The sequence below is a fragment of the Homo sapiens genome, chromosome 1 (assembly GCF_000001405.40).
Source record: "Homo sapiens chromosome 1, GRCh38.p14 Primary Assembly".
Lineage (NCBI taxonomy): Eukaryota > Metazoa > Chordata > Mammalia > Primates > Hominidae > Homo > Homo sapiens.
The window spans coordinates 66,247,769-66,275,481 of NC_000001.11; the positions used below are offsets into that span (position 1 = coordinate 66,247,769).

At 39.1% G+C, this 27,713-nt stretch overlaps 1 protein-coding gene across 7 annotated transcripts in view; it reads left to right on the forward strand.

Moving 5' to 3' along the window:
• PDE4B (phosphodiesterase 4B) overlaps nt 1-27,713 on the forward strand; it is a 582,070-nt gene that overhangs the window by 455,259 nt on the left and 99,098 nt on the right. For 5 of the 7 annotated variants that reach the window (NM_001037341.2, NM_001297440.2, NM_002600.4 and 2 more), the window contains 3 exons: nt 9,879-9,915; nt 10,025-10,095; nt 18,270-18,319. In NM_001037341.2, the coding sequence (NP_001032418.1) occupies nt 9,879-9,915; nt 10,025-10,095; nt 18,270-18,319 (158 nt within the window). Of the gene's footprint in view, nt 1-9,582; nt 9,759-9,878; nt 9,916-10,024; nt 10,096-18,269; nt 18,320-27,713 lie in introns of those variants that run through there. The other 2 variants (XM_047422401.1, XM_017001445.2) reach the window with 2 other exon arrangements.

The following is a 27,713-nucleotide window of genomic DNA, read 5'->3' on the forward strand; positions in this document are numbered from 1 at the left end:
TGAATATGAGCAGGGGTGACGTGATGACCATTTTAAGGACATTAATGCTCTATAGCATGCGGAATATGTAGCTGGGGTCTCCAAGGGTTTTGGAAAACCTAGACACAGTGTTTACTTTACATCTTTTACTGATACCTTAAAAAAATTATTTTGCTTCATTTCCTGAACTGTTGAGTCATTTATGGCATGAGAACCTTAACACTTTTTATACATCACACTTGAAATTTCAGCTGTGTGTGCAGTTTTCATGAGGCTCCAGCAAAGAGGAAAAATGGTGATTGGTTATATGCATGCTGTCTCAGTAGCCTTTGCTTGGTGACTTTAATAAGATGTCATTCAGACACATGCCTGTGTCCCTTCTCTGAAACTTTAACACAATGCCCACTTGTTGCCTGGCTCCTTGGTGAGACACAACACACTCCACCGCCCTGTAAAGCACTGCTGATATTTTTGTTTTGCCGCTATTAATTGTAAATCTCTAAATTTTATTTAAAGAACAAGATCTAGGTTGTGTCACCCATTTATTAAATTTCCAAAACCAAATAAAATTGGATTCTGGAATTCATGCCTTAAAAGGTTTCTGGGCACAGATACAATTGTTTTTATATTATATGTCATAAAAGTATCAGTAGCTCCCTAAGGTCTCCAGTTTGGAAAATTCCACTCTGTTCTCTTCTGCTATTGGAAGGGAAGTCAAAAATTTCACCCTCTGGTGAAAGGGGGAATTTTGAAGCTACCAGCAAAAAAATATTCCTTGAGGCATTTCTGCCAGCACATTTTAATAGACGCACCCCTGCCCTAAAATATCTCAATCATTGTGTGGGCCCAAATTCATTTTTCAGTCATTTGGCAAAATTTACTGATTCTCTCCTTTGTGCCACACATTGTGTCAATCTCTGGTGATAAAAGACAAACAAAACAGTGTAAAAATCACAGATGAGTTAAAAGCATATCTCATTCTCAAAAAATGTGCATGCTGTCAGGGAGGTTACAGCTAAATAAGAAAGATAAGAGGAACACACACATACAAACATAACAGAGTGAAAGGAAATAACATTTAATGAGCACTTCCCATGGAGCCGAGCTCATGTTCTTATGTTATCTCTGTTAATCTGTCAGGTAGGTGTCTTTATTATCCCCACTCCATAGATGATGAAACTGGGACTCTGAGAGATTGAGAAACTTGCCCCTATCCCATGACTGTGTATCATGCTGTGTCCCATGATGTGGCTAAGCCTGACCATATTAAAAACTTTTGGAATCTTTCCATCCATGTTCTTCAAATTGCAAAGTGGCATCTCTACCACTAGGTAGAAAACAAATGACTGCAGAGTAGAGGTGTCCAAGGCTGCAGGAGAGGTAGGTAGCCAGCAACTTTGCTGTAGATCTTGTAGAACCCAAGGCATTTCTGACAAAAGTTTGAATGGGGGTCTTTGAATGCAAAGATATTGGGAATTCTTTCCTTCACCAAGATAAACACCTTTCTAGGCTTCATCATGGAAGACCGTAGGTCATGTGGTGAGCTCAAAGTAATTAGAGCTTAATTCACATAGTATTTTACAGGTGCAAGATTAGCTTTGAAATCTTGTCATTCCCCAAAAACTAATTCCCTGGCTAAGAGCTCTCCAGACTCAAGCCAAACGGCAGGAAGAATCTCAAGGTCATTCAGAGTCGCCCCAGAAAACTCTACTGCACTTCCAGATTAAATCTTGTGTTTCATTATTTGGAATCAAAAGGTTGTAGAAATGTTAAATTTGAAGAGACCTTAAAGATCACAATCCAACTGAATCTACGGCAGTCAAAAAAGAGGTGTAGTTCTAAATGACACCGCATCCAGCATCCCTGTTACTGGTAGTTTACTGTCCTTTCAATTTTACTGGCCAGTAAAATTCCCCACCACCCGCCCCACCCCCTGCCCCCAGTAACTTTAGAACCTAAATTTTCCAACTTTAAATTTAGGCAAGTAAAAATTATATATGTAAATTATTTAATATCATTCTCACTTTTTAAAGATAAGGACTTAGATAAAAAGTAGTATGGGCACAATTTCATAATAAAAAGCAGCCTTTCCCAAGAAAACAAGGTTGGCAACATAATACCACCCTATCAAAAATACTGATAACAGGATATATTAAAATCTTTGTGTGAATGAAAATAGCACAAGATTTTGTTTTCCAAATATTTCAGTACCACAGAAAAAAACTTTTATATATTTGTCAGTTTTGGAATTATATTTCACAACACGCTGAGAAGTAGAGTTTGAATAATATTAAGCTTCTTCTAGTAATTTAGTTTTAAGTTGGCAAATCCAGTTTCACATAAATATCTGAATCTGAACTAAAGTAATGCTCTTAAAGCTATTTCATATGATTATTAACTCTTTAAGATGAATCGAAACAGAGGAACAGCAGCTCCCCACACTTCCCGCCCCTTTTTTTGCCTTCTACCCATAGATCCAGGAAGCAAGAAGGGTGCTAATAGACCAAGAGTCTAGATGTGAAGGCCACTGGGTGGGGGCTGCCGGATGTTCCCTGCTCACAGACCTCATACCCAGCACAGAGCTGTCATGAATTTTTTATGAATGGTGGAAAACTTTGCATAATTCTACTGCATTAAATCCTAGTAATAAAGGAAACACTAGCTTTTAAATTTTTCTCATCTGAATTTTTTCAGAAGAGTAACAGAAAATTATAGTCAGGGGAGAGTGAGTGAAAAGATATTAAGAGTAAAAATGTGAACAAGAAAAATTAAAAGTAGCTTTAACTTTGAGCAACAAAGGAGAGGATCAGAATAAGGCTTTATAGTGAAGTAAAGCAAGATCACCATTGGGTCCCAAAAGGCAATTTCAGATGCTTTCCTAGATGTGGCAATAGTTTGCTGGTTTCTGTTCAGTTCCTGTGTTGTAGTCATCCCAAACGTAATGCCTTCGTATACTGAGGTACAGATTGCCTCATGGGAACATAAAGTACTGGAAACTAGTAAGGCCAGTTTTACTGCTGAAAACTGTGGCAGGAACCACCATGGACAGAATGGAGTTTTGATTATCCACCTGCAAAGCCACAGGAAAGGAAACTCCATGTTTTTTTTCATTTGGTCATCCCATTTTGCAAAGCCTTACACAGACAAGAAGCTTTTGAAAGCCACCATTTACGTGTGGACTAAGTAGTCTCTAGAGAGAGCCTACTCATTTTCAAGGGAAATGAGACCTAAGAACCAAGAGGAAAAGCAGAAATAATAATCCACTTAAATTTAAAACCTGTTTATTGATGGACTAGCAAAAAGTGCAGTGTGGTTTCTAAGACTTGAGTTAGACTTACACCATCACACTTACTAGCACCATGGCTTTTAAGACATTGAATCTCTTTTATTGTCTCTAAATTATCTGTAAGTAAAAGCACACATTTATTGAGTATTTTCTGTATGCTATCTGTTAAAATACTTTACATATGTTAATTCATTTAATCTCCATATCCCCAATGTGGTAGGTACTATAACTTTCTTGTTTTAATGATGAGGATATTAGGGCACAGAGAAGTTAAGTGACTTCTCCAATAAATGGGAACAAGACGAACCCAAGAAGTCTAGGAGGTAAACTATATGGATATCCAGTATGTAAACAGACTCTAAGTGAGGCTGAAAAATACAAAATAATGCTATTAATTTCTGTTCTGCCTACCTTTCCAGCTGTTAGGAGGATCATATTCATTCTCTCTTTTAATAAGTATGTAAATTTAGGAACTTTGTGAACAAATAAGACAGTTTCTGTGTCTTCAAGGGTACGGAAACATTAGAAGTCAATAGGCAATTTTAGCAGTTTCAGATAAGGGCAGGCATAGAGAGCTATGCACTGGTTTGAAAGGTCTGGCCAGGCAGGAAAGCAGCCTACTCTGAGGAGGTTACAGCTCAGCTAGAGGAGTCAGGCAGGCAGAGGAAGTGCAGGAGAGGCCAGGTGCTAACTAATCCTCCAGTTAGTGTGGGAGCATTTTGGAGAACCACAGCTCAGTGTGGTTGATCCAGAGGATATGAGAGGATGAGGAAGTGGTGAAAAACAAGACTGGAAAAGTGAGCAGGAACCTCATCATGAAGGGCCTATGTTAAGGAATTGGCCTTTATGTTGCAAGTGGAGAGTTACTAAGCAGATAAACATATAATGCAACATTTTAAAAAAATAGCTCTGATTGCAGTATAGAAAATGGTTTAAAGGGTAGGGAAGCTTAAAGGCTAGTACTCAAACCTACAGAGCCAAACAGGAGGCTGCCATGATATTCATGTAAAAGAGGATGGGGATTTATATTACAGATGATCTAGTGAGCAGTTAGTACATATTTGCAAGTCAGGATCAGCAGGAGTTAGTGTTTAATTGAAGGATAAGGAAGAGGGAGGTTTCAGGCTTGGTCGAGAAGATAGGTGGTTGCACTATTTCCTGGGATCAGGAGCATTCTCTTACTACATGAAATAATGTACATGAAAGTGCTTTGTAAACTGTAAATATAACATAAATATGAGTCCTCTTGATTGCAATGGACAGACATGAATTAAGATTAAAGAAGCTCTCATCAGCTGGAAATACAGACATGCAACCCTTTAATTATGGATGCCCTTCAACTTACAATGTCCCAAAAAGCCCATCCTAAGTTGAAAATGCATTTAACACACCTAACCTACCAAACATTACAGCTTAACCTAACCTACCTTAAATGTGCTCAGAACACTTACATTAGTGTACAGTTGGGCAAATCATCCAAAGCAAAGCCTATTTTATAATAAAGTGTTCGATATCTCATGTAATTGAATACTGTACTGAAAGTGAAAAACAGGAAGGTTGTATGGGTACTCAAAGTATAGTTTCTGCTGAATGCATATGGCTTTTGCGCCATTGTGAACTCAAAAATTGTAAATTGGGCAGGGCGTGGTGGCCTGTAATCCCAGCACTTTGGGAGGCTAAGGTGGGTGGATCGCTTGAGTTTGAGACCAGCCTGGACAACGTGGCGAAGCCCTGTCTCTACAAAAAATACAAAAACTTAGCTAGGAGTAGTGGTGCGTGCTTGTGGTCCCAGCTCCTCAGGAGGCTGAGATAGCAGGATCACTTGAGCCAGAGAGGTGGAGGTTGCAATAAGCTAAGATTGTGCCACTGCACTCCAGTCTAGGTAATAGAGTGAGACTCTGTCTCCAAAAAATAAATAAATAAATAAAATAAGTAAAATAATCGTTAAGTTGAGGACCATCCATATAAAAATAAAGATACCTACTGGTATTGATAATAACTATAACTCAATAACTAATCTGCTTTTATGTGCTAAGCACTGTTATCAAGAGTTGTACATATGTAATAATTAATTTAATTTTCACAGAACCCTGTTTGACAGGTAAAAATGTTGAGACATGGAGAGGTTACCTAATGTCGCATAGCTAGTAATAATGCAGCTGAGAAACAAACCAATTCACTTTGGCTCCAAAATCTGTGCTGTTAACCACTATAGTATATATCTCTCCATATGACAGACAAAAATTAAGGAAATTACAAGTTAATTTCTGTGTGTAGTGAGAAAACAGAGAAAGGTGGAATGAATTAATAAAATTCAGAGTGTGGCAGTGAAAGGCAGTATTTCTGCTTTCTAGAAAATCATTTTATTGTTTAGAGCAGACCTACATACACTCAATTCTATGACTCAGTACTAAGACTGGAGTGCTCATTTCGTTATTCTACAAATTTGTAATGTGCTGGCTTTGTCACTAGATGTTGCTCTTGCAATGCAATGATTCTGAATATCTGGACTTGCTCCTGAGAGGCATTGCCTTCTCCAGGGGTTTGGGAAAGTAAGAAGTGTATCAGTTTTCATAATCAATCAAATGTTTTATAATTTCTATGCCATTTGATTCTTAACTAGTGATTTATCAAATTATGATTTTTAAAAATTTATAATAGTTCCATAAATAATCTGGTTGCACTCTAAGAGAAGTTTTTTGTTTTGTTTTGTTTCTTTTCTGTTACTTTCTATAAATTATCTGATAGATTCTCTAATAGCAATTTTCTAACATACAGCATTAGCTTTGGCAGCTCAAATTGTTTAAGGGAACCAATGCTGGGCATCTGTAAAATCCATTTTTTGCTTCTGAATGTTCTGTTCTCCTAAACTTCAAAAGTTCCATAATGATAAAGTCATGTTGACATTATGCCCTATTAATGTTTCTTTATCTCCCTTTAATCTTTGGATTGTACAGTTTTAATAACTCCTCCAACTCATTCAACAGTACATCAGCTCAAGGTACCACCTATGCATGAGATTTACTTATATTAATTAGCTTTTATTAGATACTAGACTCTGGAAATCCGGGAGTCATAGAAGATGCACTTAAATCTAAATCCGTTATCTTGTCCCAAATTCATCCTGTTGTCTTATGAACAATGTGAACTTCACATCAGAAATCAGAACACTTCACTTGACTAGCCTAAAAAAAAAGAAAGAAAGAAGAAAAGCAAGAAAGCAAGAAAGAAGGAAAGAAAAGAATCAGAACAAACCACAAGATCTTCACCCATCTCAAAGTTCATCTTGGGAAAAAAGGTTGGAAAGGGTCAGTTTCTGATACAGTTCACCACACTCCATTTATCACAACTGCTCCTGTCTTGATTATTTTTTCTTTTTTGTATCTCTCCAAGAACCCTGAGGCTCTTCCTTTGGCTCCCTATTTATATGTACCCCCACCTCATGGGGCCACTTCCTGCCATGGCCTTAACTATCCCTACTTTTGTAGGAAACCCCTAAATCTATAGCTCGAATTCCCATATCTCAGTCTTCCTGCTCGATGTCTCCACCCGGATACAAATCAGTACCTTTAAGTTCAACGTGTACCTTAAAAACTCAGTGACTACCTTAAACTCCCCCAACAGGAGGGGAAACTCCTCATTTCCTTATTTCTACTCACGGCTTCACTGTTTTCTCAGATATCCATTTTTTAAATTGAAAATTATATTTCTTTATGACCCCTTATCCAATTAAATGTCAAGTTCTGCAAAACCTCTGGGCTCTCTTCAAGTTGTCTCATTCTGTCCCTTTCTTGACATTACCTATTGGTTCTCATCAGAATGGGTGCAATTTCTAACTATTCTTTCCAGGTCTGTCCCCACTCCAATCTATCCCTCCACATCCAAGGCATTTTACTTTCTAAAACACTTTTCTGTTGGCCCATCTCACTTTCCATCTCACTAAAAACCTTCCCTGGCTCCTTTCTCTCTCCTCTCTCTTTTTCTTTTCTTTTCTCTTTTCTTTTCTTTTCTTTCATTCTTTTTTTCTTTTCTTTTTTTCTCTTTCTTTCTTTCTCTTTCTTTCTTTTTGAGACAAAGTGTCACTCTTATTGCCCAGGCTGGAGTGCAATAGTGCGATCATGGCTCACTGCAACCTCTGCCTCCTGGGTTCAAGCAATTCTCCTGCCTCAGCCTCCCAAGTAGCTAGGATTACAGGCATGTACCACCACACCCAGCTAATTTTGTATTTTTTTTTAGTAGAGACAGGGTTCCTCCATGTTGATCAGACTGGTCTCAAACTCCCAACCTCAGGTGATCCGCCTGCCTCGGCCTCCCAAAGTGCTGGGATTACAGGCATAAGCCACCACGCCCAGCCTGGGTGATTTCTTTCTATGGAGTTAAGTACTGACTCTATAATCTTTGTCTGGACTGTCCATAATATGAGCGTGGGAGGCCTTCTATCCTTATTCTCTACAAATGTCTATAGCTAATATGCTCTGCTCCACCCAAATAGCCATCAAACATCTTAATAAGCGTGTTCAGTATTTTCCCATTTCAGTACCTTTGTTCCTGCCATTTCTCTTCATTGGCAGCATCTACCATCCCTGACTTTTTAAATCCTTCAAAGTTCCTCTGAAACACTGCTCACTCAATCAAGACTTTCCTACTTTCTCTAACCTGTAATTGTCATGTTTCCTTTGGACTTCATGAAGTATACCCATTGTTTTTAATTCTCATTCTGTATTAAAATGTCTATTACAGTTTTTAAAATATTTTTTGTTTCCCCTACTTTGTTTCAGTTTTGGAGTTCATGGATATTTTGTATGATTTGATATGTCAACTATGCAGCAAGTCATAAAATAGGAAGCATAGGCTGGGTGTAGTGGTTTACACCTGTAACTCCAGCACTTGGGAGGCCAAAGTGGGCCGATTGCTTGAGCCCAGGGCTTGAGAGCAGCCTGGGCAACATGGCAAAACTCTGCCTCTACAGAAAAATACAAAAATAAATAAATAAAATAGCTGCGTGTGGTGTTGTGTGCCTGTAGTCCCAGCTACTCCAGAGTCTGAGGTGGGAGGATTGCTTGAGCCTGGAGGCAGAAGTTGCGGTGAGCTGAGATCACTCCACTACACTCCAGCCTGGGTGACAAAGCTAGACCCTGTCTCAAAACAAAACAAAATAATGACAACAACAGCAAAAATGAAGCATAGTGTTTAAAAGCACAGATTTTTGAAACCAAACAGTCTAAATTCTTACACTTGGAATCAGTCTCAGTTCTTCTACTTACTAGGTATGTGCTAGTTAACTGCTCTGTGGATCGATGTCATTTATATAATAGCAATATTAAGAGTACCTGACACACAGCCCTGTTACAATAATTAAATGAGATAATACATGTAAACTGCTTACCACAAGACCTGGCAGACAACAGTAGTGACACAAATAATGCTTACTCCTTGTCAGTATTCTTTTTATTGTCACTGTACAGAGTGGGCACAGAAGACACTTGCCAGATTAAATTGAAGTTTGGAGGTTTCTAGCTGAAGAAAAAGGTGGAAATAAAAGTATCATATTAAATAAGATGTCAAGTTAAAAGCCTATGACAGAGGAGAGGCCCAAATGGATGCATGTGTTGTTCGACTCTGGAGCCCCAGGCCTCGTGTGGTGCCTGGTACAGGGCACATGATTAATAATTATTGGTTGCACTAATGTAGTTAACAAAGAAGGTGCCATATTTGTGTGACAATGATGAGGACAGGGAAGGTAGGCCAGACACTGAGGGAAGTTCACTGTTACTAATTTCTGTGCTGCTATGATGATTCACACTGTAATAGCAAAGTGGCCTGATTTTGTGACTGTAGCTCAAACCAACATGTCTTCTAGTACCTTCAATAGAGAGTTTGCTGAATGTGGGTTTAAGTAGATTTCTCAAAGTATGTGCCAGAGAGACAGTGTGCACTTCTGAAAACACATTTTTGACTCTTCCTAAATACAGATTTACATAACACTAGGTACAGCTTAATCTGTTCTTTGGGACAAAATGGAGTGACAATGGTATGATTATGGCAGGTTCAGCCATACACTCCTATTAAAAGCTTTTCCTTAGGTACTTTAAGAAAAAGTTATATTACAAACAAAAAGTAATGGGATTCCCAGACAGAAATCTGTGTTTAAATGGCATTAAAGCTGTGGTTCGAATCAACAAAAGCCAGGAAATCCAAAGTTAACCTTTATCCAGACTGTTATACCAGTTTTTCCAACTGTGTGTGTCCCTGTGAGCAGCCCTCCCTTTGAATTTCCTGGCTCTGGCAACCAAAATCCACAAGTCGCTTTGAATTACAGTACTCTGGATCTGTTATTTAATGGGAATATATCCTGAGGATATATGCTTACTTGCAAATGCTTTTATGTGTAGTCACTGTAAATTCAGGAGTCATGAATCTAGTACTAATTTTTTCCTTTCAAGCTCTTGGAATACCCTTTCGTGCCAAATTGTGAGTCCTGTCTTATATCCAGGTAGAAGAACTTGTATAACATTTGTGTTGTTAACACTGATAAAATTTAATATTATAGCTTATATGTCACAGTTATAATTCAAGTAAATTTCTAAAGGTTCTTTTTTTCTCTTTTCACCAGACACGGCGATGACTTGATTGTAACTCCTTTTGCCCAGGTATGTATTATGCTGGCCCTGGCTTGCTTTCACTGTCGCTGGTTTCTAAGTCTGAACCTGGCCATTTGTCTTCTTTTGTCCTTAACCGTTTAAAACATTTTTCTTCTAGGTCCTTGCCAGCTTGCGAAGTGTGAGAAACAACTTCACTATACTGACAAACCTTCATGGTACATCTAACAAGTAAGGATTGACTTTTTTGTGGAGTTTGAATCCCTAACATAAAGGCAAAAAATATTGAGCAGCATTTAAAAAAATACAACTATTACATGGAAAATTGTCCTCTAAGCTAAGTTAATATACACAATAAAATTTGAAAACAGGATGGAGCACCATAGTATTTTAGAACTCATACAACACTATAAGTAACCTAGTCTGGGTCTTATTCGTCTTTGTACCCATAAGACTCAGTACCAAGTAGAAATTCACAAATGAAAGAACAAAAGGAAGATTTAATTTTCGTTGACTTTTACATTTACTACTTTGACCAGTAACTGCCATAAATTCTATTAAAATTCTTTTTGAATAAGTTATTAATGAATTCAGATATTCAAACTTAAAATTAAATGTAGCAAAAAGTTCAAGTTCAATTTGCCTAATTTTTGATTGTCTATAAACAAGTTCATGCAGTTTAATGAATAAGAGTGGGATTATCTTCTCCTCCACCTTCAATTAATTATATGATCTTGGCATTTAAATTAATGTTGCTGATCCTTGATCTCCGTATCTATAAAATGAAGGGTTTGAACTTTATATTCCTTGCAGTAACACTTTCTCCAAAATCATTTCGAATCTATGAGCTTAAGCTAAGTTCTATTCGGTTCACTCTTCTGCATGTTTTAAAACAGTATCACAAAGGTCAGAGAGTCATAGAACCCGTGATCCTGGAATGAGAGGACTGGAGGAGGCCTTTGAGACCATTGATTCTCTTGTTTAGTAGAAACCTAAGCTCTCAAGAATCCAGTGACTTGCTAACAACCCCCTCCCCCCGCATAAGTTAGAGACACAGCAGGGCCAAAACCTGTATCTAATTTTTCAGCCAGTGTTCACTACAGAGTATCCTATATCTCCAGTCTTTGTGAAGTTATTTTTCAGTCCTTTACTTTGCTTTCACACACATTTTCATAGAATAGTTTCATTAAAAGTGGGAGTAAACCCTGCTTTGAATGTTTGCTTTTTCTTTCACTGTTTTATGACTAGGCTTTCTTGTGAGATGACTCTGTATACTCTGATCAAACTTCCATGTGAGTGATCTTTCTCACATGTTGTATGACTGTGTCACCCTCCAGCTTGAGGCATTTCAGTGGTCCAGTGTTATCATTAAGATAAAGTTTAAATGCTGGTGCTTGGCACTCAAGACAAATTAATTTGATTGATAGTTGCTTGGGTTTATATGTAGTGCAATGTATATGAAATCTAGAGGCTTGTCTCAGCCTCTTTTGGGTAGAACTCCATTTATTTATTTATTTATGTATTTACTTATCTATTTATCCATCCAACTAGTATTTATTTAGTACATACCATCCATTCATACATGGATATATGCATTTAACAAATAACTACTGGGCACCCCCATCAGTACCAGGCACTGGTAATATAATAGTGACCAGAGCAGACAAGTCCTCTCCTCTTTTAGGGCTTACATTCTAATACAAAATGCTGTAGGATGCAGTGTAAACAATCAGACCAGGTCTCTAGCCACATGGAATTATGTTCAATAATCATGGTCTGTTGTTCTCTGCATACTCTCTTCTCTATCCTAATTATGGACTTACTGTTCTTTCTTCCTAAAATGTCTGTTTCCACTTGCCAGTGTCTGCTTGGCCAAATCCTGATTGTCTATGTCCCATCTCTAGTATCACCTTCACTGAGATGCTTTCCCTGACCTCACCAAACCTGGCTGAGTGGCCCTCATTTGGATCCAGAGTACTCTGAAAACCTTATCACTATCTTTATGGATCTCTGCCCACCACTAGACTGTGTGCCCTTTAGGAGTAAGAATTGGGTTTAGTTTTTCTTGAATTCCCAAGAATAGCAGAATGCCTGACATACAGTTTGTGCTTCATAAAAATTCATCACATATATGAACTTCTGAATAAATAATTGTTGGAGGAAAGACCACCAATTATTTAGAAAATTATATTTGCAGGATTGATTCCTTCTCTATGTTTTTTTCTTTGTAGAATATGGCCTCTGGCTTCATAGCCCATTTCTACCCCCTTGAAAATGATGCACTTGGGCAAGCTAATTACTCTCTCTATATCTCAGTTTTCTAATGTGTAAAATAGGGTTGTTATGAGGATTAAATGAATTGATATTTGCAAAGCACTTAAAACAGCATCTTGCACAAAGTAGGTGCTCAATAAATGTGAGCTATTATAATGGATCGTTACATTTCTCTTGCTGAATCCAGAAGTGGTGTAACACTTTGGGGTTTTCATATCTGTTGTCAGCTTAGATCACCATAAATGATATTCATGGTATTGAACAAATAAAGGTATTGTTACCCCCACTCTATGGATAAGGAAACAAAACTTAGGGAGAATAAATGACTTGGGCAAGAACGTACAGCTTCCAGTGGGCAACAGAGTTTTCCTTGAAACCTGTAATCCTGACTGTCACTGCAGTGCTCTTTTCATTTGCCAAACCTGTTAAGTCTTCTGGGTTATAGGAAGAAGTCCCTGGAAGGCTTTGGAACAGAAAGACATTTAGGAAGAACTTATGGAATAGATGAAGGTCAGAAAGCCTGAAGACAGAGACAGTAGCTAAAACAATATTTTCAGGAATTAAACATGAGGGTATAGCTCTAAACCAGAATGATGGAGATGGCAATGGGGAGGAAGGGATTAATATGGACACATTTTAAAGGCTTCTTAAGCATGGCTGGACTGAGAACCACTACATTGCACAGCACTAGGGAGAAGGCGGGGTGGGTGGTGGTGTTCTCATTCTTATTTGTTAGCATGGGTTTGAAGGTTTTTTACCTCTGTTAGTAGTATCAGAACATTCAGCCCAACCCTGCTGATTAATAAGCTGTGCCAACTGAAACAACTTTCTCAATAATCAGGCCTTTCCAAACCCTTGAGGGTTTTGGTCCTTGTGAACTTTTAGGAACCAAGTACCCCAAGACCATAATTGCCATAGCACAGCTGAAGCACAGCCCTTCCCACACTCTGGCTGAGGACTACCCTTCAAATCACGGCCCCTTGTGTCACCCTTGGTCCAAAGCAAGCCATGCTTATCACAAAAAGCAGGCCTCCAGTGGTAAGATAGTTGTATCTAATGATCTTTCTCAAATTCATACCCATGTGTACAGAGTTGATCCTGTTACTGATTGCAAGTACTACCTTGTCACCAACAAAAATTCAAGAGAGGGCACATTTACCACTAGAGCTTCACCAAAGGGAGTTGAGAGTGGTGCAGTCTAGCTCAGACTCAGTCCTGAATAATGGATTTCAGACATCAGGGAGCTGAAATCAATGAAATCAATTAGCCATCTCTGGAGCAGTCTGGCAGGGGCAGGCTGGAAAACTGAGTGTCCATTTAATGCACTCCATTTTATTTCTAGATAGTGAATACCTTCAAACAACTAAAGAAAAGCCAAGAGAAGGAACTGAAGACAATAATGTTTGGCAGGAATGGATACAACATACAGAAAGCATACCCCCACCCGAACACACACACAGACACACACACAAACACTCACACATATACACAGAGTTATCTTAACAGCTGAAACTGTAGAATTCATGGAACTCAGATATTCCTTTCTGATATACTTGACTTCAGATCCAGGGTGCCACTCCCTGCCTTGAATGTAGCATTTAAGCAATAATTGTGTCCTAGGAGTGGTTTTCATGAGACATCTGGTTAGTGTGGTTTATTGTAGGAAAAGGAACTCCCACATAGAACTATACTTCTCATAAGTCAAGATTTCTTTTATCTTTTGGCTCTTTGCTGTGCATAAAAGCAGTCCATTGTCTGCTTGTGCTTTACCACTCAAAGGGTGGAAATCTCAAAGTTCCTGTTGAGGTGGTTTCCTTGCACCTTCATGAAATATCCCATTGAGGGATGCTTGATTGGACCTGTATTTCTTGGCTGCAAATTAAAACCTACACTTCCTTTGTCCCAGGAGTTAATTTTGAAAATATGGCTTTCATTTAGAGTTGTTAATTCAGATAAGCGTTCTTAAAGCACTTGCTGACTTTAAACAGACTGCTGGAGTAATCAGGTGCGCAAGTGAGTGTGCCCACCATTCAGCAGTCTGATAGCCAGGGGATGGAGCTGGGAGCAAATAGGTGTCATTTATCAATCGACTCTGTCATCAACATCATGAATGTCACCTGTGGCTATCAGGAAATAATGTAACTTCTTTGTATTAACATTCTTCCAAAGCATAATTTAATGAACATGTATGTAATCTTCAGGAAAGAACTAATAACCACTTAATTTTTTTAGTGCATATCTATCCAAAATGTCTTTTATTGCTGTATGTACTTTGGCATGTGAATTAAATTAACTGAGGATCATAAAATGTTTAGCGTTCAGAGCTGGAATGAACCTAGCCAAATTTCCTCAGATGAAGTGAAGCAACATAGGTAAAACTCCTCACACAGGACTCAGTACGTTGTAAATCACCAGTAAATGTTAGTTGCTGCCTGCTCTTCTCAAGTGAGGAAGAAACTAGGAGGTTCCGTGAATTGCCCAAGGGCTATACAGTGGGAAGGTGCCAGAGCCAGGATTAGGATTCCTGTCTTCTTAGTCACAGTCCAGTTCTGTCTCCACTGTGCTATTCAGGGCTGGAAAGTATGAACTGCTATGGCCATATTATCTTCCCTATTTATATCACCATCTTCAGCAATCAGCCACGTAACTTCTTATGATTCTTCCATAAGTTACGGACTTTGGAAACTGAGCAACCAATACCACTTTCCTCTGGCATTCCTTACAATTTTCTGTCTGGCATTCTCATGCCCTACAAGCAATCATGTGGCTTGCAGAAGTCATTTATTCATTGAAAATGTATTGAGCCTCTTCTTTGCACCAGGTCTCATGAATAATTGACAAACCAAATAAACATGGTCCCTGCCTTTCCAAAGCTTCCACACAGAGATGCTTATCTGAATTGACAACTCTAAATAAAGCCATATTTTCAAAATTAACTTCTGAGACAAAAGAATTTGTATAGTATGAGTAATTTCCAAGAAGTCATTGAGAGAATTAGGCACTGTGATTTGACACGCTATAAAGAAAGTAGAGATTTCTGACATTTGGGGTCTCCTAGTTCAGTTTCTTCTTTCACAAAAGTCTTCTTTGGAACTCAGGAAAAGGTGTAAGATAAAATTATTAAAATGCATTATTAATCCAGTGCGTATGTGTTGAGTACCTCCATCATAGCAAATATTATGCCAGATCCCTGTGTTACAGTGGTGCACAATGTTCAATCATTGCTTAAATTTCTCATAGATGAGTTGAAGAGAAAGACAGGAAAATGGGAAATACAATATAGAATGAGCAATGCAGTGGTTCAGTAAGCACAGGAAACTACAGAACACAGGTGAGGGCCACTCACAGAGGGAAGGCTCCTCTGAGGAGGTGATGCCTGAGCAGAGTCCTAGGACATATGAAAGAGCTAGCCACATAAAGAGAAGAAAAGTATCCAACTGAGCAAAATGTGTGCAAAGGCACAGCAACAAAAGAGAGTGCTGTGTTCGAGGAACAGCAAGTGGCATATAGAACCAAGACTGTATGTGAAAAGGAAACCAGATAAAATATTCATATAGAGTATTTGGTTCTCAAATCACTTTCACATCAGTGGGTTATTCAATCTACATTCTATTAACATTTTGGAGTTCCTACTATTTGCCAGGCAATATGGCGGGACCTGAAGAGTATGTAAGCAAAGAGATCAGAACTGGATCCTGCCATCAACAGGTCACAGATTACCAGTGGAGATAATATGTGCCAATATGGACTGTAACATGAAGAAATGACCCTAAAGGTACAAATAAAGCACCATGAGAGATTAAAGAGACCATTCTTGGCTAAGAGGATGGCATCCTTTGGAGAAGGTTTGATGGGTAACTTAACCTTAAGTTAACCTTAACTTAACCTTTGATGGGTAGATTGTTTGGTGTGGAGACAGCTTCCTTGACAGGGGAATGAATGGCCTGAATAATGGCAGGAAAGGGGCAGCACATATTCAAGGAAAAAGAAGTGTTCAAGTTTGGCCTTGGCAAGTGTGAGTCAGCTCTGTCCCTCATTCATTCACTCTTCTATTCAATAAGTATTTACTGAATGCTTGTCATATGAAGGACCATCCTGGGTGCCAGGGATCAAGCGGTAAACAAGTTGTTCCCTGCTCACATAATGTTTACATTTAATCAAAGGAACTATGTATTGAACACTAACTAGACAGAGCCTATTTAAGCTATAATTTTAAAGTGCTACAAAAGAGAAGTACAGGATGCATGAGAGCACAGAGCCAGTCAGTGGTCTGAGATGAAATGTCAGGCAATGAGGAATTATGAGAGATAAGCTGGGAAAAGGATGTTGGGGCTAGAGAGCAAAGACTTTGAATGCCAGGCTAAGGATTTTGGAATTTAATCTCTTAATTTTCCTGAAAAACAGCCCTCAGTATTAGTGCAGGTGTTATCAGCATATAGTATAGTGGAAAGAGCATGCACTTTGGGTTCAGAAAGACTTAGCTTTGAATTCTGGCTGTGCCAATTATAAATCATGTGTCAGTATGTTTCTTAAACTCTCTGAGCTTCAGTTTTCTTATCCTTAAAATGGGGTGATAATACTCCCAGTGGAAGCTAAGAAATACCTAGCACAGCCTAGCAGAGAAAAGCAATCACTATATGATAATTTCCCTTCTCTTGTCACATGTGAAAATTTCATACCACTGAGAGTTTAAAAGTACCCTGCCTAAGATCACCCAGCTAGTAAATTAATGGTAGATGTGGACCCTGTCTATAGACTACGGCTACTAGGTATGGGTACCTACAAGCTAGATTGTCCCTAAAGGACCAGAGATTAATTCAGAGCAGTAGAAAAACCTAGGGAATTAATTCTGTGGCCACACCAGTAGGAAGACTCTTCTTTAGCAACAACGATGCAGGCTGTTCTTTGTCATTTAGAATTTGGCTTCGTTCTCACGCTTGCCTGTGCAAGAGAATGCAAAAAGAAGTGAAAACTACAGATTCCCAGGCCTCATCTCGGATATACTGAAATAGACTCTTCAGGGTTGGAAAAAGAAATTTAATAGCTCCCCAGATGAGTCGGCTGCGTATCCATGTTTGAGAACCACTGGACTAGAGTCTCACTCTCTTGCTCATTGCAAATGTCCTGTTACTCCTTAGTGGAGCAGAGAATCCTTAATGCCAGTGTTTCTGAAAATGTGGTCCTCAGACCAGCAGCATCAGCACCACTTGGGAACTTTTTATAAGGGCAAACTTTTAAGCCCATCCCAGGCCTACTGAATCAGCAACTCTGGGGGTAGGGCCCAGCAGTGTGTCTGAATAAGACTTCCAGGTGATTCTGATGCACCCTAAAATTTGAGAGCCCCGCTCAATAGTATTCCTGAGAAGTTTTCCAGCAGTGCATCAGGAAACAGGAGAGTCTGGTAGAAGTTCTGCAAAACATGAGAAGAAGGGTAAGAGCAGTGAAATTGAAAGGTTAGGGGCAGAGAAAGGAAAAGAAACAAGAAAAAAGGAGGAGCCCCAGTACTATGGGAACATGGGTTTGCTTGTTTCATTTAACCCCTGACATCAGCAGGCTTGTTATGATGTAGAATGACGTCCCAGTTCCTCCATGAAAATTCTGTTCCCTAAGTAAAGCAAGCTGGATGACTGTTCCCAGTGGTTGTGTGACCTTGGCAAGTGACTTCACCTCTCTAGGTCTCTGTCTCCTGAGGTACAAAAATTAGGGGCCTGAAGTGATTGATCGCCAAGGGTTCCTCTGGCTATAACTTTTTACAGCACTGCCCAAAGGAATTGAGATTCACTCTGGCATTTCGAGTGATGCCTGAGCAAGTGACTCTTTTTCTCAGGGCTTCTTGGAACAGCAAAACTTAAAACAGGGGGCTGGTTTGGGACCTGGAGTAAACAACTTCCTTCCTGGAGAGTCTGAGCATCCTGAGGACTTGCAGAGGGAAATTCCAGGCCATCTGGATGTGAGAGAATTGCAGTCATCTACCCGGGTTACAGGAGCTTGCCTTCCGGAGATGGCATTATGTCACTACATAGTTCATTATGACCTGGAAAAGTCCTCAGTAACCATGAGGGTGGGGTGTCGGGGGTGGAATGGGCAGTTTTGATACACAGACTCAGTCCTTCTTTTCTCTGTCTCCACAGGAGGTCCCCAGCTGCTAGTCAGCCTCCTGTCTCCAGAGTCAACCCACAAGGTAGGCCATGTCATAAGGTCTATCTAGATGTTTCAAGATAGAATAATAAACATGCCTCTTATTCAGAACTGTTTTTTAGAACAATAGTGTTGTTTGCATATTGTGGCTCTCAAAAGTATGTCTCTTGGTGACTTTTTTCTAAGGTACACTGGAGCATTACTTCACTCTATTAAAACCACATTAAAAGCAGTACTAAATAATTTGCCCATTGTATGTGCAGGCTTTCAGAATATGATAAACATGGGGTAATGCTGCCTCTTCCCCAAAGAGGAGCAGGAGACAGAGTTGTATTGACAGTGCAGCTTGACCTCAGCTTGCTGGCCCCAATAAACTCCAGGAGAGCTAACATCGAAGACCTAAGGTGCTCCACGTTCGCCTGAGGGCCCCTGCGGATATGTTAGTGGTTTCCCTCTTAATGTCAACTATAGATTCCACTTGAATCTACATCCTTTCCAGGTGTGAAACCAAAGGCTCTTTCCAGGTCACGAATCATTTCTTTTGGAGGGCATCCAACTTTGTTCCTCAACGGTGTTTTGTTTTGTTTTGTTTTTTGTTTTTTAAGAACCTAACCTCTCATCTTTCAGGACAGTGCATCCACTTTTCTTGGTGTGTTGAGAGCTGCAGAGAGGAAGGGCCACCTTGAAGGAACACCATGGAGTTCTGTTGGAACTGAAATTCTTCTTCACACAAAATGCAACCAGTTCTATGATATTTGTTAAAGTCCAAATAATGTTTTCTCCTAAATCTGTTCCCTACTAATGTAGCAGTAGATTTGAGAAAAACCACAGGAGAAACAATTAAGATGAACTCACACTGAGATCACCTAATGCCTGACACCTAACGATGCCTCACATGCTTTTCTATTTCCAGCAGCGCTTCATACTTAAAATCTTTCTCTCTTGGTTGTTGTGTTTTCTTTCTGGTATCCTGATCATAAGTATAACGGAAGTATTACAAAAGCTTAGCTTCTAAAAGAAGGGAACAAAAGCAGCAGATTCTATTGGCTCATTGGCTTCTGAAGTATTTGTGGTGCATGCTTTTTAAAATATTTTTATAAAAGAAAGATTGAGAACGAGAAAAAAAAGTGAAAGAAAGATACTAAGTAAAGGTGAGTTTACTCTAGAGCCTCGTAATATGAAATATAAAGAAGTAAACAGTACTCTATGGACTTCAAAAACCTGGTGTGCTGCATGTACTATTTCTTTTAGAACTTTTATAAAAAGAAACAAAATAGGATGTTTTAACATATAACTCGTGTTACATACTTGGAGATCGAAGGAGGTAGTTTTGAAACTCCAATCATTTCATCATATTGGCCTACCAGTGAGGCAATGTTGCTCACATTTCTGTTAGCCAAATTTACATCAATTTGATTATTTAGACTATGTTTTCTTTTTCTTGTAATAAATACTGACAAACATTAGGAGAATATGTACAATTTATGGTTCTATAAATTAGCTCATTAACCAAAGATGTGGTTGGAAAGATCCTTTTGTGATTATTGGCACAGCAACTACAGCTTGACAACTAGGGATTCTTTTGATAAAGTCTTCTCAAACAATGGAGCAAAGAAATGACAGTACCACTCAGGCAATTTGTTTCCTTCTGTCTCTGTGGCAAACTACAAAAATCTTGGCTTTTCACTGGGAAGAGAATGTAGTGATACCAATTACTACGTAATTACGGGTTTCAAAATCTCCTTAACGTTTAGCCACGGTTAGAAAAGGAAGGAGGAGACACACATCCCTTGTTTTGTTCTTATTATCAGCTTAAATAAGTCAGGCAGATTTTTCCTGTTATTTTAATATTTATCAGCATATGACAAAGAGGTGTGTTTAAATAGAAACTTTAAAGGGGAATGAAAAATAACTGGCTCAGAGCAAACAGAATTGAGAACTGGAGTGCTGCTTCAAAATATGATTTTTCATGATAGTAAGATCAGGTTTTTATTTCTCAGTACTGAAGTTGAATTCATGTATTTCAATTGAAATCTAAGATAAAAGGTACAAGAAATCTACATCAATTTAAACAGATTTAGCAACAACCTAGTTTGCTCAGAAAGCCTGACTTAGATAACTGTATTCTTGTATTGGAGCAATTCAGAGAGAGAGAGAGAAATACCAAATCTTAAAATGCTTTATTATTTTGAACATATAAATGAGAAAAAATGCAATTTATTTTAAAAGCTAATTGTCAGAAACCATGGTAAATTGGTACATTTACTTTTACAAATTGATTATTAACTGAAATATTAAATGGATACATCAAAGGAAAGCTCTCCATTTGAAATACCCCTCTTCGGCCAGGCATGGTGGCTCATGCCTGTAATCCCAACACTTTGGGAGGCCAAAGCGGACGGATCACGAGGTCAGGAGTTCAAGACCAGCCTGACCAATATGGTGAAACCCCATCTCTACTAAAACTACAAAAATTAGCTGGGTGTGGTGGCACGTGCCTGTTGTCCCAGCTACTCGGGAGGCTGAGGCAGGAGAATCTCTTGAACCTGGGAGGCGGAGGTTGCAGTGAGCCGAGATCGCACCACTGAACTCAAGCCCAGGTGACAGAGCAAGACTCCATCTCAAAAAAAAAAAAAAAAAAAAAAAAGAAAGAAAAAGAAAATAAAGAAAGAAATACCAGAAATACCCTTCTTCTCACTATCCAGCCAAGGTTCTTATCAGCTCTCATGGCTCAATGCAAATGTCCTTACTTTGCAAAGACATCTTATTTTTTTTTAAGTTGGCATAATTGCTCCTTTTTTGTGCTATGGCAACAATTTAATTCTCTGATATACTTTAATTCAAGGCTTCTTGTGTGTCTCTCCCATTGGAGATAAAGCTCTTGAAGACAGGGACTGTGCCTTATCTATCTTTTTATTACTCATGGTGCTTTCGCATAGTTATTTTCACATAGTAAGAACACAGTAAGTGTTGAATTGACCGGGAAAACTACATAAAATTTGGGGACTTTATGTGAAGTAAAATACATATAAAATAAACTTTTAATAATGAGCCAATATTTTTATCTCTATTGCTATGAAAATTATTCAAATTGTGTTTTTTCACTGTTAACAATTAGTTATTGCACTGAAGTTAATAGAGGTTTGAAGCACACTCTATAACTGCTTATATATGTTAGTGTGTTCGTATAGGTTTTGAACAAAAAGAGTGAAATCTAAGAAGTTGGCATTTAGCACTTTGAATAAGAAAGCCAGAGTAGAGCAATGGAGAATTTCAAGCCCAGAAAGAACAACGAGGAAGCCATATGCTCCCAGGTTGAGGAGAAAGACGCAGTAAATCCTCCTAGGGGTGTCGAAAATGCCAATGTTGTAGTTTAATGAGCATCTGAATTTGTTTCACATTTTGCCTTTCACAAGCATAAATTCCAGGCTCTCCCTACATGGTGCTCAAGGATTGAAACAGAAAGGAAAAAATAGAAAAAGAAAGAAAACTCCAAAATAAGGCAGGAACTCGAATTCTGTCACCTGTACATATTCACAACAGAAAATTGAAGTAATTCTCAGGATTTCAGGTCCCAAAACTATTTGCAACAGGAAAATGGGGTGCATGCATACACATGTGTGTGTGATAATTGTCGCCTTTTTTCCATTCCATCCTATCCTTTGCTCTTCAATAGTAATCACACATATGTCATGACAGTAAGAATTTACTGAAAAGATAAATTATCAAGTGTTCGCTGTCTTTACAAAATGATTTTTTTGCTTTATAGAAGGATTGGAGAAGCATCCTTTTAATGGCTAGCACATCCGAGTCATGTAAATGTGACTTGATGTAAAATAATATGTATCATGTATACAATATTTTAGCAGCCAATTTGATACATAAGGTGGGGTGCTCTCTACTAAATTTCTTTTTCTAAAATTTATCAGTAAATTTACTGAGCAGGAACATTACCACTGGTAACAGATCAGATGTTATGAAAAACACCACAGAAGTCTATGGGTCACTGGAAATGACAGCAAACCATAGCACCAAGATGACTAGGGAATCACTTTGAGGACTTCAAGCCAGATTGCTGCAGATACTAATGATATCAAAGCCTGGATATCCATAGCCTTGATTTATGGTGATTTTCAACACCAGTCAATTAGAATGCATTTCAAGAAAAGACTGTGTTCAGAGAAATCGTATGAGACATTTCTTTTAATATGTGTCTAGGCCATTCTGGGGAGGAATTGGCTTTTTACCAACTGATAAAACAGAAGAAGAGGCTTTCTCCTTGGAAACCTATTTCTCCATACAGGTTCTGCCCATAGCTTTACTTGATTATGACTATCCCTCCGGAGGTTCATGTGGGTGTACCAGATGCAGGGTCTCTTCAAGTAGTGGACAAGAGGGTCAGTGAGTTATCTTCGATTTTAAGGAATTCAGAAAGTCATGACATTGATTCCGTTCTCATTCTTTGCCAGAACTTTCAGGACCTGTGATGAGACAGGGTCTATATGTGCATGGGTAAAGGGCTCTCTGAGAACCACAGCAATAGCCTGAGAGCAGTGCTGCATCAGATGACTGGAAATGAGGCCCAGCACAAGCAGAACCTTTGCTTGGTTTCTACATTAAGCAAGAACTGTCAGGCAGGATTACAACACTTACGGACAAATAGGAATAAAATCAATCTTGTGACCAAAGGCTCTGACCAGTCATGATAAAGGAAAGATTAGAGGGAATTATAAGAAAAAAGAAAAAGGAAAGAAAAGAGATAAAAAAGAATGGAAAAAGAAAAAGTCAGAAATATCAAACTATGTTTTCTTCCTTATTCTGAATTCTGTGTGCTGAATTAATGGAATAATTGCCTTAATTACTCGCCTTCAGCGTTTAGACAGCCTGCATATAAAATGATAGCAAAAATGCACCAGAAAAGCCCCAGTTATTTTGAGAATAATTTTCCAAATGGTTGTTTTGTAATAATTGCTTTTGTCTAAAATAGCCCTCTTATGAAAGTTTACCCCAGAGCATCAACACTGAGCTGTTTATATTGATTTGCAGTTATTTCATACATATCTAAAATTAAGTATTGGTACTCGCAAAAACATTAATACCTCAGCTAAAGTGCAAACGTTAAAATGTTTCCCTTAAGCAGATATTGTCAAATATAACACCCTGCTTATTATGGTTATTTCACTAGTTCAAAATTAATTTGCAAATTTAGCATAAATATTTCTTCTCTTTGAATGAAACCGAGGAGGCCTCATCTAAGTTCTCACTAGCTGCCTGAACAGTTGAGTCCGTTCCGTGTTGACTCCACTTCACATTTTTGTACTGCTGAGAAACAACATCCACCCACCCTCCCCTTGAAAGTTGGAATCATGCATGTTAGTAAGTATTTCAGTTATGCTATTGACGTCAATGGAGTCATTAAATAGATTGCTGGCCCTCCCAGAGGCAAATCGCTGCCAGGGACCTAGATACAGACACGTTTTTTACAAAGACAACCATCAGGTTTTGCTATAGCAGTAAGCCAGAGAAAGGGAAAAGTTTATACTGTAGCAGACCTATCTCCAAACACAGTTTCTTTCTTTCTTTTGCATTTTAGTTCCGGCCTTTCTTTCTCTTTGGTTACAGTAGGCTCAAGCAGATACCCAGATACTGTTGCCTGAATGTTTTGTGTGCAAAAGCATCTCCTGTAATTGAGACCATGAAGGGAGGTACCCCACTTTTAAAAATGAGTCTCACATTTTGCTCTACACAGCCTATCTTGATGTTGACTTGGTTGCATAAATTATTTAGGCAAATCACTATTGTCTGCCAGTAAGGTCGTGTTTGATATATAGTTCCCTGAATAAACAGTCTCCTCCAAACACACACACACTTTTGTACTTTCTGCCATCCCTGCGTGGCATGTCGCTGCATCCCCTCATCTATGAATCAACCTTTTTGCAGCTAGCACTGTGCTGTAGCATCAGGGATCTGCAGCAAAGGGTGGAGGAGGAAGCTGGGAAGAAAGCTTCACTTCTCTCAGCTGCCTCATCTGCAGCGCTCCCACAGGAGGCTGTCCACGTGCCTGTGTCCTCCCAAACCCTAGCTGCTGCCTGCCTCGAGCCTGGTCATGCAGCTCCCAGGCATGGCAGGCAGAGCCCTTTAGGAAACATGTGCCTCTTTCTGGGCATTCTTGACAGCTCTATTTACCTGCACAGCCCCAGGAGTCAGAGCCAGAGATTCGCCTCACACATCTGGACTCTTCCACCTCCAGGATCGAAGTTAGGGAGACATCTTGAGCAGACAGATTTCTTCAAATCTGGTTGTCAGAAACTATCCCATTGGTTTTAGAACCCATTTCTCTCTTCAGTCCTGTACCTTCACTCCCTGGAGACCCCCAACCCCCATTACTTATCAGTAAGTTTGTATATAAATGCCAGACATCTGACTACCTCTGGTAACCCCTTTTGGTTCATCTGGAGACCCAAATTCATTCACCTACACAACTGTCCCTTTTTCTGTCTTTCTGACTTTGAGTAGCATCTTCATCATCCACCCTTTTATCTCCCTCTTCACCTACCACAGCCAACTCCTTTAGTCTTTTTCTCTAATCTTTTTCCTTTTCTCCCCCACTTCCTCTGCCTTTGTTTATTGTTCCATCATCCTGTACCTAAAGCATTGTGGTGGTCCTCCAACTTGTTATTATTGTCCTCATTCTTTCCCCACTCTAAACCAGCTTCCATTCTGGTACTAGAATTCTTTTTTTTTTTTTTTTTTTTTTTTTGGAGGGACGGAGTCTCACTCTGTCATCAGGCTGGAGTGCAATGGCGCACAATCTTGGCTCACTGCAACCTCAGCCTCCCGGGTTCAAGCGATTTTCCTGCCTCAGCCTCCCATGTAACTGGGACTACAGGACCCCACCACCGTGCCCAGCTAATTTTTTGTATTTTTAGTAGAGACAGGGTTTCACCATGTTGGCCAAGATGGTCTCAATCTCTTGACCTTGTGATCCGCCCACCTCAGCCTCCCAAAGTAGAACTATTCTTATAAACCCCAGTTATGGTTACATTATTTTCTTCTTTAGCTATACTTTGCCTTCAAGATAAGACCTAAATGTCTCACCAGGCATGCAAAAGCCTTTAGAATTTTGCTCTCTTTCTTTGTCCTCATCTCCCACTTTACGCTGCCACCCCCCTGCACAACTGATGGCTGAAGTGCACTGAATATACATCCCTGAAATACACCAGGATCTTCTTGCTTTCCTGCTTTCATATATGCTGTTTCTTCTACCTGGTTGCCTTTTCTCCAAAATATCATTTACATATTCAGCTCAGGGATTATTTTTCACATTGTCACTGTGAACAAATTCTATATATCATCTGATTCTTGGATTCAGGATTAAAATAAATATATAGTCTCAATTCAGGGCCTGGGCCCTGATATATACTATGTGCATAGGAAATACTACTTCCTTTACCCATTTCCTTCTGGAAAGTGCATTTTAACCCTTCATCTTCTTGATATACCTTCTGCAACTCACCCAAAATTACTGTTAATTATTATCTCAAAATCTCTGTTATTACACTTGTCATACTGTATTGTAATTATTTCATTTTTTCCCATTCTAAACTAAAAGCATCCCAAGTTCAAATACTAATCCTCTTTTTCTATATCCTCAATTTATAACATAAAGCCCGGGACATAGCAAATGCTCAATAAATGTTTATGGACTGAACAAATAGGGATGAAATAATGCCCATGCCTGAACCAGATAAGATTAGAAAGGAAGTGAGGCTCATGTTCAGCTTTGTTAAGGCTTACTGAAATATCTGCTAGCTCTCAGGACATGTGCATAGTGCTGACATCCCTTGCTAATCTTGACAACGTGTGACTTTCAAGGCACTTGAAGTGAACTCTTTGTTATCCATCACTTCAGGAAGAAGTGGCAGTGTTAAAAGAAATGGAAGAAAAACAACTAAATGAATTTTTATCATACTATATTGTTCTCTTAGTGCCTGGCATTGTGCTTGCCACAAAGTAGGCACTCAAGTAGCATATTGAATGGAATTGGTTTGAGAACCCAGTTAATCCTTCAGAGAAGTTACTTCTCTGAGACTCACTTTTCTTGTCTGAAAAATGGGCATTTTTTTTTTTTTTGAGATAGAGTTTCACTCTTGTTGCCCAGGCTAGAGAGCAATGGTACAATCTCAGCTCACTGCAACCTCTGCCTGCCAGGTTCAAGTGAGTCTCCTGCCTCAGCCTCCCAAGTAGCTGGGATTACAGGTATGCGTCACAACACCCAGCTAATTTTTTTTTTTTTTTATATATTTTTAGTAGAGAAGGAGTTTCACCATGTTGGTCAGGCTGGTCTCGAACTCCTGATCTCAGGTGATCCACCCTCCTCGGCCTCCCAAAGTGCTGGGATTACAGGCATGAGCCACTGCGCCCAGCTGAAAATGGGCATTTTAATATTCTATATGTTAAGATTGTTGTAAGGGCTAAATGAGAAAAGCTTTATATAGTGATTAAGAGTGAAGACTCTGGAGTCAGACTGCCTCTTTCAAATTCCAGCCACACCACTTTGTGACCTTGGGACAAATTGCTTAACCTCTCTGTGTCCTAATTGCCTCGTCTCCAAAATTAGGATGGAAATTGTGTGTTTTGGTTGTAAGGATTAAATATGTTAACATGTATAAAGCATGTAGAAAGTCCCAGTGTTAGTATTGGTGTTATTAGTGTTATATAACATGACTCAGATAGTACTCAGCACATAGCAAACCACCAATGTGTGGTAGCTAAGATCCCAGCCTTCTGGTATCAGTAGAGAACCACAACAGAAAGCCCTGTTGAGCTCTTTCTAGAAGGTTCTGGTCTACTTTGCTTCCATAATAATACCATCTGAAGGGAGTAATTTTTGAAGTTTAAGACTTTTTTTTTCCTCCTGAGACTATAGAAATCTTGTTATATAGAAATAGTTTTAGAGCTGAAGGTAGAGTTCTCCAGCTCATACATGGGAAAGCTGAAAAGTCAGGAGGGAGAATGGAGCTGACACCAAATATAAAGGGACACCCCTAAATACAGCTTTTTCTCTTAAAAGCAGAGTGCAAAAAAAGATTGTCAAATTACTTAGGACTTCTGGTAAACCAAATCTTAGTTAACTGAAAGCCCTGTCTTGCATAAGCCTGACAGGATGCCACTTTATATGATAGCATCATTACAGCTTGTACAGCACATCAAAGTTGTATTGAAATACATGTTTCAGGGTTGGTACACACCTATTCAGGCATAGGTGTTACAACCCAGGAAGCTTAGCAGGGAGTAGCGCTAGGAGCTGGTGCAAAGCCTCCCTTTGCAGAGAGGACAAAACCCACTAGCAGAGTCTGCAGGAAGGGAAGAGGATTGGCCCTTTTGGGAAAAACTTTACACCCTCTCCAATTACTGCTGAGAAGGAAAAAGCAACC